Source organism: Homo sapiens, chromosome 4, assembly GCF_000001405.40.
Source record: "Homo sapiens chromosome 4, GRCh38.p14 Primary Assembly".
Classification (NCBI taxonomy): Eukaryota; Metazoa; Chordata; class Mammalia; order Primates; family Hominidae; genus Homo; species Homo sapiens.
The window spans coordinates 176,291,029-176,305,502 of NC_000004.12; positions in this window are offsets into that span (position 1 = coordinate 176,291,029).

The following is a 14,474-nucleotide window of genomic DNA, read 5'->3' on the forward strand; positions in this document are numbered from 1 at the left end:
CTCTCAAACATAGTGCTATCCCTATTGAAGTCAATGGGGATCTGGCACAAAAGTCACTTGATGTTGGGGTCAGGAAAGAGAGGAAGTCAATAAAGTAGTGGAGAGAGACACCAATTGAGTCTTTATGCCTAGGAAAAGCATCAGCTCAGAAGATGCATTCCTCTGAAAAGAGGCCATGTTAAATGGTAAGAACATTTAGGGGCACTCAAACGACGGTCAGAATAGGAGAGGAATTATGTTCAACATCATTTTGACATTTTAAGTGTCTTCTACAAGCAGAAGAATGAATGAATGAAACTAAAGTTTTATGTCTTATACTCAATAAACCAACAATACTTATTGAAATGGCTATGCCTAAATCTTATAAAAAGAAAGGTGATTAAAAACTTTGCAGTATTTTTTTTCAATACATGTACTAGAAGAATAGGCATTCATTCCTGGTAGAGTTCAGTAAACAATTATAGTATACATAAGAAGAAAATAATTCCTTGCACTTGAGTTTCTGTTGATTAGCAGCACTAAAAATAAACAAAGTAGATAAAATTCTTTAATGAAATTATCCTCTACTGTTACAGAAGAATTCTGATCTAATTCCATTCTCAAATCTCTATGACATTCACTATTCAGTCAAAAAATATGCATTAAGGACCTTCTATGCTTAACTGAGAATACAATGATAAGCAACACAGTTTTTGTCTTTATGGGATTTACATTCCTGCATCTTAAAACAAAAGGAATTCAAAAGGCTCATATACTGAAAGGAAATTATATTCAAGTTTTTACCCACACTTCTCCCAATGATAAGCAAAAAACCCAAATATTACTTGTAAAAAAAATGAAAAGACGAAGAGTAGCCTTTGAATTCCTGGAACTACAATGACAAGTAAAAATGACCTATATATTTGTTAGTTATGAATCACACGCATTATTGCTAACTCATTTTTCTCTTTTATATGCTATGTGTAGATACAGCAAGGAATTGCCATAATATCAGGTCTTAGTCAGAAAGAGGCAGCTTTGTTCAATGGTAGTTTAATTGGAATACATAATCGCACAACATTTGGAAACTTTTTTATTTTAAGATCTTGAGGCTTTTTGCTTGCTCAGTTTTATCTCATGATAATCTACTTTATTAATTAACTTCCAGCTTGGCCAAGACACATTTAGTCTTAATGGAGTGTTGATTTGTGTCATCAATAACCTTCTGGCGAAGTTTGCTAATGAAATTTATGTTATGGGCCCTGTATAATTGTGTGAGGTGACCTTCTAAGGTGATTATCATTTAAATTTACTTCAACCAGATACCCTTTCCAATAACTACACACTTAGACTTTCTTTGTAATCCATTTTTTTGTTGTTTTTCCATTCTTGTCCCTGAGCAACACATTGGTACCTGTTTTTGATTTACTTATTATTATTATATTAAAGGTAATAATGTTGTGCTTTTCCAGTAAGACAGTTGCTGTAACAATTACTGTCCTTTTAATAACTACATTAAGCTTGCTTTGATACATTATTCATCTTAGTTATGTATTAGTATTAATTATGTAGTTGCCACAGTATGACCAATTCATAATCAACCTGATCTATCTGAACTGGGTGATCATGAAGCTCCCATAATGCAAAAGCACAGTGAAGATTTTTATTACTTCATTCAATATAGACTTATCAAGCACCTACTCTGTGCCAGAACTATATTAGATATCAGAAGGACAAGTGTCAGTAAAACAGGTTTCCCTTTTTTCACGGACCTTATATCCTTGTGAAGAAGTCATATAATAATGACTTGAAAGATAAAGACTGATGATTGACATGTAGGAAATAAATGCAGTGTTGCAATAAATAAATAACAGTGCTGACCCACAATTAAGGAAGCAAGGACATATTTTTGGAGGAAGCAATATTTAAGCAGAGACCTGAAGACTCAGAGACAGAGTGCCAGCCAAATAAAGAGCTGGGGAAGAGCATTCCAGGCACAGGACAGACAGTGCAAAGATCCTGTGGCAGTAAAGGATTTGAGTTTCCTAGGAACTGACATATAGAAGGCCAGTATGCCTGAAGTGTGAGTGAGGGAAGGTGCTTGAGAAGTGGGCAGGGCCCACTGTTTTGGGCCACATGTGATCCTGTGATGCACCACCCAGATTTCCCCACAGAACTGAAGCATTTATTCTCCCAGCTGCTAGTGGTGCTGCCTGCTAACTTCCTTCAGCTGTCCTCTTTGCCTTTCATGGCCCGAATCAACCTCTCAAAGACTTCTTGAGGAACCCAAACTGCAATACCACAGTAAGTACATCGGATTTTACACTAAGTTAAGTGTGAAGCTATGGCAAGGCTTTAATAAAAGCAAGCGAGGATCACTTTGCCTGATATGTGTAGAATTAGGGCAGAAAAGAATCAGACGACTGGTTAGGAAGCTATTGCAGTAATCCCAGCGAGATGATGATGGCTGGAACTAGGGTAATGGGAGTAGAAACTGAGAAAAGTGGATAAATACAAGATACATTTAGGGGTAGAATTGGTGATTGGCTAGTGAGAGAAAGGAAGTACCAAAGAATAACACCAAAGGTATGGTGCAACAACGTTTTAGATGTGCAGCAGCAGAAAATGTAGGGCACCTGAATTCAATACTGCTTTATGAAGCTTGAATAAGTACTGAGAAAGACCCATGCTTAACATTCTGTGAAATAATATTTTGGGTTCATTTTAGAAATTATCCCCAAAGAAATGTGTGATCAGCATGAATTAAAAACCATGGCCACAAATGATTATGTTATATATTGTAGTTTTTTATACTCAATGGTGTTTGAAAACAAATAATTGCAAACTCATCACTATCTGGCACTTTGTAGCTAAGCTGAGCTTAAATATTGTAAACTGAATTAATGAACGTAAGAGAACATGGTTCACAGTTCTTATGATGCATTAGCTTGGTCTCAGAAGTCAATAATGGCTTGATATTCCAGAAAACAGACTTGTACTGTTAAGTCTAAGGCCACAAAATCATTTTTAAATAGGTATTATACAAAGTCAGCATTTGTGAATGGCTGTGGAATAAAAGAGAGTAGAAATTAAATAGCTCCAGAAAAATTAAGAGTTATTTTTAGAGTAGGTTTGCACTAACCTAAGATTTTTAAAAAATAAAATAAAATAAAGCTCTCGTTTAACAGCTATTTTTCACTCAGATTCCTGATCTAACATATTGTGTATTTCACGCGCGTCCGTGTGAAGAGATCACCAAACAGGCTTTGTGTGAGCAACAAGGCTGTTTATTTCACCTGGGTGCAGGCGGGCTGAGTCCGAAAAGAGAGTCAGCGAAGGGAGATAGGGGTGGGGCCATTTTATAAGATTTGGGTAGGTAAAGGGAAAAAGGGGGTTCTCTGGCGGGCAGGGGTGGGGGGGGGTCACAAGATCTTAGTGAGGGAGCTTTTGAACCAGGATGAGCCAGGAGAAGGAATTTCACAAGGTAATGTCATCAGTTAAGGCAGGAACAGGCCATTTTCATGTCTTTTGTGGTGGAATGTCGTCAGTTAAGGAAGGAACGGGCCATCTGGATGTGTACGTGCAGGTCACAGGGGATATATGATGGCTTAGCTTGGGCTCAGAGGCCTGACATTCCTGTCTTCTTATATTAATAAGAAAAATAAAACAAAATAGTGTTGAAGTGTTGGGGCAGCAAAAATTTTGGGGGGTGGTATGGAGAGATAATGGGCTATGTTTCTCAGGGCTGCTTTGAGAGGGATTATGGGCGGCGTGGGAACCTAGAGTGGGAGAGATTAAGCTGAAGGAAGATTTTGTGGTAAGGGGTGATACTGTGGGGTTGTTAGAAGAAACATTTGTTGTGTAGAATTATTCGTGATGGCCTGGATACGGTTTTGTATGAATTGAAAAACTAAACGGAATAAGAGAAGGAGAAAAACAGGTATTAAAGGACTAAGAATTGGGAGGACCTAGGACATCTAATTAGAGGGTGTCCAAGGGGGTTCAGCGTAATTACTTGCTTGGTTGGCAAGCTTTTGGGCTCTATCCTTGAGTTTTTTATGTTGTCATACACCAGGCCAGATTGATTTAGGTAAAATGAACACTCTTCATTTAAGAATATACAGAGTCCTCCTTTTTCAGCAGTAAGTCAAGGCCTCGGCGGTTTTGGAGGACAACTGCAGCTAAAGAGTCAACTTGGGCCTGGAGGACTGATAAAGTTTGTGATACGTCTGTGATGCTAGCAGAGAAGTCATTAGAGAGGCTACGGAAGGTCGTGACAGAGGTTGAAATGCCTGCTATTCCAGTACCGAGAGCAATAGTGAAGGCAGAAAGTCTTAAACTGACAAGCAAGGGAATTAGTGGAATAACTCTTTTTTGTCGTGTCGGTGTCATGAGGGGAACAGGGAGCTCTTCGGTCCTATTTGCAAATTGAATTTTGGGAGTAAGGAAAACTAGTGTGCATGTGCCTGTCCAATTAGCAGGTAGACACATGTAGGTAGAGGATACACAGAGGAAGAAGACACCTTGTGCGAGGCAAAACTGGAGATGCAAAGTAAAAAGATGAGAAGGAGTGCTGAAAGGGGTGTCTTGTACCCAGACTCCTAGGGATCCAGCTAGGGCCACAGCCATCAGAGGTTGTAATGGGGACTGATGAGGTAACTGCACAGAGGAGGAGGTTCGATTTTCATGGTGTATGAGAAAACGTTGAGTATCTACGAGCAACCTTTCACTGTTATTTACAGGGCTGGGTATAAGTAAACAAGAAGAGGGCTTTGGAGATGAAGAGTAAAGGAACATCGAGAAGGTGAAAGGTTACCCAGGGGAATTCCAGTGGCCACAGGAATAGTAGTTTGTGTTGTGAGAGGTCTAAATATGGGGGGAGTAGAGTTGATATAAGGAGAAAGGTTTTTTTAAGTAAGTGCGGAGGAGGGCGGCAGCTTGCTGATGTGAAATGTCTGGGGAGGTCTTGCTGGACCTGTCTAGAAAGTAAATGAGTTCTTCAGGAGGGTAAAGGTGAGGGCTGTTAAAGGAAGTTCAGAGGTGTAGGGAGACAGGAGATGTTGCCTAATCTGCATGTAAGTGGGGACAGCTGTGTAGGCGCTGGAAGAAAGGGAAATGCAAAGCCAGCGGTTGTTAGCTAAGGAAGGATTAGAAATGGCTAGGAGAGAATAGTAAGGTCGATAGTGTAGTGGAGATAGCTGGGGAGAGGTAGAGGGTGGCATAAGAATGGGAATGAGAATAAGAGTGAGTATAAAAGTAAAGAATAGAACTTCATCAGGGTGAAAGTATTGGAGGGTCCCCTGCCAGCAAAGATCATCTATCCACTTTAAGAGGGAGTTAAGAGTTGCCAGTCCTGGGTCGGGGGTGGGTGGGCAAATCCTCGAGCTTGATGTGTAGGGAAGGGAGGGGGCCTGAATAATCCCTGAGGAGTAGTAGAATAGCAGATGGAACGCTGAGAAGTTATTTCTTTGAGGATAGATTCCCACAATGGAAAGGAAATGAGAGGTTCTAAAAAGCGGGCTGGTGGCTTGCATTATAGCATAGCCTGCCTTTGCTGGTGTGTGGTGATTAGGCCTGGTGAAACTACTATCAATAAACCAAATGTGATCAGGGTGAGGAATAGGGAAGAAGGAAATATGGGGAAATGGGGTGAATGTCAGGTGGATCAGAGCGATACAGTCATGGGGGTCAGGTGTGGTATCCAGAATAATGTGGGAGGCCGGATTGAAGTCGGGCCAGGAACAATGGTAATTGTGGGAGACTCAACAAAGAGTGAGTACAGCTGAAGGAGGCGGGGAGCAGAAAGTATATGCATCAGGTGTGAGGAAGAAAATAGATTTTGGAAGTTATGAGAACTGTAGAGAGTGAGTTGAGCATAATTTGTGATTTTAAGGGCCTCTAAAAGTATTAAGGCAGCGGCAGCCACTGCACGCAGACACGAGGGCTAGGCTAAAACAGTAAGGTCAAGTTGTTTGGACAGAAAGGCTACAGGGCTTGGTCCTGGCTCTTGTGTAAGAATTCTGACCACACTAACCATCCCTAGGAAGGAAAGGAGTTGTTGTTTTGTAGAAGGGATTGGGGTTTGGGAGATGAGTCGGACACGATCAGCAGGGAGAGCACGTGTGTTTTTATGAGATTATGTCGAGTTAGGTAACAGATGAGGAAAAAATTTGGGCTTGACTGAAGTAGTGGGGGCTGTCTGTGAAGTCTTGAGGCAGTACAGCCCAGGTAATTTGCTGAGCCTAATGGGTGTCAGGGTCAGTCCAAGTGAAAGCAAAGAGAGGCTGGGATGAAGGGTGCAAAGGAATAGTAAAGAAAGCATGTTTGAGATCTAGAACAAAATAATGGGTTATAGAGGGAGGTATTGAGGATAGGAGAGTATATGGGTTTGGCACCATCGGGTGGATACGCAAAACAATTTGGTTGATAAGGCGCAGATCCTGAACTAACCTGTAAGGCTTGTCTCGTTTTAAGACAGGTAAAATGGGGGAATTGTAAGGAGAGTTTATAGGCTTTAAAAGGCCATGCTGTAGCAGGTGAGTGATAACAGGCTTTAATCCTTTTAAAGTGTGCTGTGGGATGGGATATTGGCGTTGAGCGAGGTAAGGGTGATTAGGTTTTAATGAGATGGTAAGGGGTGCATGATCGGTTGCCAAGGAGGGAGTAGAGGTGTCCTATACTTGTGGGCTAAGGTGGGGAGATACAAGGGGAGGATGTGAAGGAGGCTTTGAACTGGGGGAAAAGGTGGCAATGAGGTGTGGCTGTAGCCCAGGAATAGTCAGGGAAGCAGATAATTTAGTTAAAATATCTCGGCCTAATAAGGGAACTGGGCAGGTGGGGATAACTAAAAGGAGTGCTTTAAAGAGTATTGTCAAAGTTGGCACCAGAGTTGGGGAGTTTTAAGAGGTTTAGAAGCCTGGCCATCAATACCCACAACAGTTATGGAGGCAAGGGAAACAGGCCCTTGAAAAGAAGGTAATATGGAGTGGGTAGCCTCCGTGTTGATTAAGAAGGGGACAGACTTACCCTCCACTGTGAGAGTTACCTAAAGATCGGCATCTGTGATAGTCTAGGGGGCTTCCGAGGCGATCAGGCAGCATCAATCTTCAGTTGGTAAGCTGAGAAGATTGGGGAAGGAGTCAGTCAGAGCCTTGGGCCAGAGTTCCAGGGGCTCTGGGAGTGGCTGCCGGGTGAGTTGAACAGTCCAATTTTCAGTGGGGTCCTGCACAGATGGGACATGGCTTCGGAGGAATCCTGGGCTGTGGGCATTCCTTGGCTCAGTGGCCAGATTTCCAGCACTTGTAGCAAGCTCCTGGGGGAGGAGGTTCTGGAGGAACCCCTGGCAGCTGCGGTTCAGGCGTTTGGAGTTCTTGTGTGCTGGAGATGTGGCTGGGGTTTGTCTCACAGTGCAGGCAAGGAATTGCAACTCAGAAATACATTGCTACTTGGCTGCCTCTAGTTTATTGTTGTACACCTTGAAGGCGAGGTTAATTAAGTCTTGTTGTGGGGTTTGAGGGCTGGAATTTAATTTTTGGAGTTTTATTTAATGTCGGGAGTGGACTGGGTAATAAAATGTATATTGAGAATAAGACGGCCTTTTGACCTTTTAGGGTCTAGGGCTGTCTCAGCATTGCTGCCAAACGAGCCATGAACTGGGCTGCATTTTTTATTTGATGAAAAAGAGCCTAAAAGCTATCTGATTTGGGATTAAGAAAAAGGAGCATTAACCTTGACTATGCCTTTAACTCTAGCCACCTTTTTAAGAGGAAATTGCTGGGCAGGTGGGGGAGGGCTAGTCGTGGAACGAAACTGTAAGTCGGACCAGGTGTGAGGAGGGGATGTGACAAAAGGATTATAGGGTAGGGGATCGGAGGCTCTGACCTAGCTCGGCCTGGCAAGAAGCAGCCTGGGGAGGAGGGGAGCAGTCAGATGGGTCTGTAGAAAAGGAAGATTGGAAAGAGGAAAGACTCAGTGATGCTTGGGGTTGGGACGAGAGGACAGACAGGAGGGAAAGAAGGAAGATTTGGGATGAGCTGCATTGGAAACAGAGACTAGGGAGGGACTGATGTGTAAAAGAATGCCTGGACATCAGGCACCTCAGACCGTTTGCCCATTTTATGACAAGAATTATTTAGATCTTGTAGGATGGAAAAATCGAACGTGTTCTGGCTATTTGGAACCACTGTCGAGTTTGTATTGGGGTCAAGTGGCATTGCAGAAGAAAATAAGGTGTTTAGGTTTTAGGTCAGGTGTGAGTTGAAGAGGTATTAAGTCTTTGACTTAACACAGGCTAAGGGAGAAGGAGGAATGGAGGGTGGAAGTTTGCCTATAGTGAAGGAGGCAAGTCCACAGAAAAGAGAGGGTAGAGACATGGAGAGAAGGGGTGGGGAGTGTTTGCCCCCCAGGAAAGTGGAGAAGGGGTAGAGACATGGAGAGAAGGGGCCGGGGGGTTCTTGCCCCGTAGAAAAGTGGAGAAGGGGTAGAGACAGGGAGAGAAGGGGTCGGAGGGTTCTTGCCGCCCAGAAAAGCGGTACTTGCCGCTAAGGGTGAAGGACCAAGGCAGGCGTCCCCACGTGGTCAGACACCTCTGAAATGTGGGTGAATAATCAGTCAGGCATCTCTGCGTGATTAAACACCAAGGGAAGACTGTCTTCCCGAGTCTGTGACCAGTGCCGGAGTTTTTGGGTCCATGGATAAAATGCGTCTCCTTTGTCTCTACCAGAAAAGAAAAAGAACTGAAATTAAGAGAAGGGAGAGATTGAAGTGTGGCGCCAAGATTGAAAGGAGAAAGAGGTTGAGGGATAGTGAGAGAGGTTGGAGAGGAGAGTAAAAAGAGGCCGCTTACCGGATTTAAAATTGGTGAGATGTTCTTTGGGCTGGTCGGTCTGAGGACCTGAGGTCGTAGGTGGATCTTTCTCATGCAGCAAAGAGCAGGAGGACAGGGGATTGATCTCCCAAGGGAGGTCCCCCGATCTGAGTCATGGCACCAAATTTCACGTGCGTCCATGTGAAGAGACCACCAAACAGGCTTTGTGTGAGCAACAAGGCTGTTTATTTCACCTGGGTGCAGGCGGGCTGAGTCCGAAAAGAGTGAAGGGAGATAGGGGTGGGGCTGCTTTATAAGATTTGGGTAGATAAAGGAAAAACGGGGGTTGTTCTCTGGCGGGCAGGGGTCGGGGGGGTCACAAGGTGCTCAGCGGGGGAGCTTTTAAGCCACGATGAGCCAGGAGAAGGAATTTCACAAGGTAATATCATCAGTTAAGGCAGGAACCGGCCATCTGGATGTGTACGTGCAGGTCACAGGGGATGTGATAGCTTAACTTGGGCTCAGAGGCCTGACAGTGTATACTTTGCCAGTGAATGTTACTGGTTATAGAGATTAGAATCCATGCCTGTTTAAGCAGAAAGGGATTTATTAAGAGATATTAGGAAGTTGTCCAATCACTGAAAGTACAGGTGGGGCAAACCTAGGTTGACCTAGGAACTGCTCCCAAGACCAAATAATAGAAATTGCCTGTTGGGGGAGAGGCTAACTCATCTGACTTTAAACTTACGCTGCCTCTACCATAATCTAGAAAGAACCATTGCCACCAATGACCACCCAAACTATGCTGCTTCTGCTGTGATTCCAGAAGCACTTCACTTACCCTTAAACTCAGAAACACCCATGCTTGCAAATATGGATGTCATGGCACTATTTTGCCAAGCAGTTGATCAAATCAAAGGCTCATTAAGCTGTATCTGATTGGTGAACTCTGTCACATGTTTGTACTCTTAACAGCAAGTTGTGCTGGGAGATGTAGTTTTTTCAATTCTGTGTTGGGGAGGCACAATGCACAATGTGGGAAACTATCACCACATGGGGAAAGCATTGAGAAAAAAATCTTCCACAAATAATAGACATGAATGACAGAGGTCCATCATAGTTAATATTCCAATTTTTTTTTTTTTTTTTTTTTTTTTTTTGAGATGGAGTCTCGCTCTGTCGCCAGGCTGGAGTGCAATGGTGCTATCTCGGCTCACTGCAACCTCTGACTCCCTGGTTCAAGCAATTCTCCTGTCTCAGCCTCCCAAGTAGCTGGGATTACAGGCACGCACAACCACGCCCAGCTAATTTTTATATTTTTAGTAGAGACGGGGTTTCACCGTGTTGGCCAGGATGGCCTCGATCCCCTGAACTCGCGATCTGCCCGCCTTGGCCTCTCAAAGTGCTGGGATTACAGGCATAAGCCACTGCACCCGGCCCATTTCAAAATCTTCACTCATGGTTAAGTTCTATTAATATCATTAATATACCCCATTTTCCACTGGATAATACATACTGACCACTGAAATAATTTTTAGAAAAATTTAGGAACCAAAGAATTGTATACGCTTGATTTAGAATGTTCCTCATGAATAATGAGTATTGAAATCTGCATTAATATCTTCAGTAATGAATCTACCCCGTTTTTAGCAAAGTCAGATATTAAAAAGATTTTCAACAAAACTATAATTGATTATTTGAGCTCACCAGATAGGGTTGCTGCTTAAGAGACTTATTTATAGCATGTTAGATCTAAAACTGATAGTACTTTAATAATTCCACAGAGTCCTCAAATAACTCACTCCAAGATAAATCAGAGACAGCGAGGAATCTTTTCATTGGATGTGTCTGGGCACCATCCATGGTCAGCAAGCTCAGTGTGCTGGAGTTCAGGGTTTTCTATTTTGTTTCTACAGTTAATTTGTTAGCATGTGAATTTCAGAATTAGGTGGACTGGCATCAGTCCTTCCGGTATCTTCCAAAGCAAGTTTTTGAATAGAGTATCTACTAGAGTTTCCAGTACAGGGCTCTATTTGAATCCTTCCAAAAGTTGTAGAGATTTTGCCTGCTCTTGTTCAACTTTCTTTCAACAGCTTCTCTTCTTTATTACCAAGAGTCTTTGTGTTAGGCAGCAATACAACAGATGGTGAACAAGTCTTCATCAAAGCAATCTTTTTAGAAACAAAATCCCTTTAGCATAATGACCCTAAATCAGATCTAAAGAAAAAATTCAATGGAAACGTTGTACCAGTGTTTCGTGGCCTACACAACAGACTCCTACTCTTTAACATGGTTGGCTTAATTGAAAAATGGTTAGTTTTTGTTTTGCCCAGTCTAATACTATTGCACTTATGAATAATAATTCTATTAGCATATATATATATGTTTCTAAATCTAAAGTGTATTATTTAATTCTCATAACACAGTGAGTGAACAAAAGCATTGTGTGGGCTGAATGTAGACTACAAATAAAAATGGCCATTTAGATTCTAATATTACATTATCTAAAAAGTTACCTTCAATCATTTGCAATCATTAAATATTTTACTTTTACTTAGGCAATAATGACATTCCCTAACAGATAATTCTTCTTTGGAGGTCTCTACCAAATAGCTCTACTTAAAATAGCAGAGCTGAGTCAACATCTCAGAATGCATTATGATTGCAGGCAGCAAAATGACTCACAAAATGGTAAACATACGAAGAAGCCAAACCTTCACTTTAAAAGATTAATGATAGTATACAACAAATGACAAAGTAAGCATCTATCTCTACTACCTCTTACCTGGGAGTATTTCTCTGGATTCTAAATAAGCATTCCATACAGATATTCTGTAAGTTTATATGAAGAATTTATATGCTTTGATTGTGCCTACTCTTTTTCATTGTGCCACAAAGCTGTTGAGCTTTATATAGAACTTCAGTTTAGTGCATTTATTTGTCAAGCTATAGGTGTAAAAACCAGCTATTCTAGCATTTACCTCATTCATTCAGCTTCCTATTCTGAAGCTTTCCTTCTGAGATTTTTCTTCACCATCTTACCTCTTTTTCTTTCTTCATATCCTTGGTATAAAAATGTGAATAGTTTTCAGCTAGAAGGAACCAGCAAAGAGGTCCCCTAGGTTTCATCTGTATAGATTACTGGTAAGTTTATTACGTCTAAGAGCTAGTTCCTAAAAATAGCTCTCATCTGCATAGTAATGGGCCTCCTCCATCCCATTTCTTACATCCTTCTAGATATCCCAGAATAATTTAAACACTGTCAGCAATTCTCTCTCTGAAAGCTCTGTTAGCCCATATACTATAGAACCAGCCTGGGACACTCTAGTTCATGGTACCCTCATCCTGTGGCTTAGATCTCCCATAGAGTGGCATGGATGCCCTCTTGCTCTGGTACCTTTTGGTCATCTTCTCTCTATGTCTGCACCTGTACCCTATGGCCCTGGCCACATCTGCCTCTAGATTTAGTCATCTGTATTCACTATTGTCACCATGAAGTAGGAAAACACTTTAAGTGCCATTCTTGGCAAGGCAGAATAGCGGCGATGTTGGGTTCTTAATATTTATTTTGGTTAATTCATCTTGAATGTGCACATGGGTATTCTAAATCCAAGACAGCTTTGTTATTAATTAGTTTACAGTAAATAATAAAATTATTGGACCATTTCCCCAAAACTTACCTTGGAACAAAGGGATGAAAGCAGCTGGAAACATCTCCTTCATGAGTGGCCAGACACTCCCCAGATAAGAAAAAGAGAACAACAAATTTTCTTATTTTACATACTTAAGAGAGATGGCCTGCTACTCGTTTCCTAAGAGGAGAGAGAAGAACAAAACCAAAATATTTGTTCCTTAGAAATAGGATGGAGGCTGGGCATGGTGGCTCAGGCCCATAATCCCAGCACTTTGGGTGGCCGAGGTGGGAGGATCGCTTGAGCCCAGGAGTTTCAGGACCAGTCTGGGTAATATAGTGAGACCTCATATCTACAAAAAAATTAAAAAATAAGCCGCGTGTGGTGCCACATGCCTGTAGTCCTAGATATCTGGGAGGCTGAGATGAGAGGATTGCTTGAGCCCAGGAGGCAGAGGCTGCAGTAAGCCAAGTTTGTGCCACTGCATTCCTGTTTGGGTGACAGAAGGAGAACTTGGAAAAAAAAGAGAGAGGGAGAGAAAGAAAGAATGAGAGAGAAAAAGGAAAAAAAGAGAAAGAAATGGAATGGAAGGAATGCTGGGTTCTCACCCTAACCTTTGGGAATGTTAATGTCTTTCTAGATAAACCCAGATCCTGGCTTTTATCATCTAAAGGCATCTCCTAAATTCGGGATTCATCTCTTTTGCTATGTAAATACCTAGAAGATAGTGCTCCAGTCCTCCTGATACCTTGGGACATTACTTAGGGACCTAGTCTAGCTGTAACCATTTGGCTCTCAGGAAGACAGGAAAAGTGTTATCTTTTCAAATCAGAAATAGAACTACTTCTAGTATATGACCAGTAAAATGCTTCAGGGGAAGTCAAAGCAAACATTCCCTATCTGCATATGAGACTCATCTCCTTGCCTTAGGAAACTAGGGCTTCTCATAGGAATACCGGGAAAACCAGGAAAGTGTTATTTCCACTGGAGAGTCTGTGTCCTTTTCTCAGAATGGAATTATTTGAATTGCTAGTGTGAAAGGAAAATCTTGGAACCCCAAAATTGCTAAGTTAAAGGGAAAATTCAAGCTGGGAACTGCTCAGGGCAAACCTGTCTCCCATTCTATTCAGTCATCCCTCTGCTCACTGAGATAGATGCAGATCTGATTGCCTCCTTTGGAAAGGCTTATCAGAAAATCAACGAATACAACCATGTCTCTCACCTACTTGTGATCTGCAAGTACCCTCCCTGCTTCGAATTGTCTCCTCCTTTCTGGACTGAACCAATGTACTTCTTATATATATATTGATTGATGTGTCATGCCTCCCTAAAATGTATAAAACCAAGCTGTGCCTCGACCACCTTGGGCACGTGTCCTCAGGACCTTCTGAGGCTATGTCATGGGTGTGCATCCTCAACCTTGGCAAAATAAACTTTCTAAAGTAATTGAGACCATCTCAGATATTTGGGGTTCACACTAGTAAAGATGTTTTGGTGGTGGTGGTTTGTTTTGTTTCTGTCTTTATTTTTTTTATTTTTTTGAGACGGAGTCTCACTCTTGTCGCCCAGGCTCGAGTGCGGTAGTGCAATCCTGGCTGACTGCAACCTCCGCAATTCTCCTGCCTCAGCCTCCCAAGTAGCTGGAATTACAGGCATGCACCACCACACCCGGCTAATTTTTGTGTTTTTTTAGTAGAGATGGGGTTTCATCATGCTGGCCAGGCTGGTCTAGAACTCCTGACCTCAGGTGATTCGCCCACCTCGGCCTTCCAAAGTGCAGAGATTACAGGCGTGAGTCACCGTGCCCGGCCTGTTTCTATCATTTTTTAAAAGGCTTTCCATATCCATAGCTTTCTCCTCAGACCAGGGTGGGAAGCGGTGGTAGTGTCTTGTGCTCAGTGCCTCTTCACTTAAAGTGACATTTTCTGCCCTGTCAGGATCCTTGTTCTCTCTGGCTATAATGTTCATCAATATCTTCTGCATTCTCCTTACTGTCTATAAACCACAATTATGGGCAAGATTCAAGTTCTTTTCTGTGAAATTCTTAGGTTTCAAGA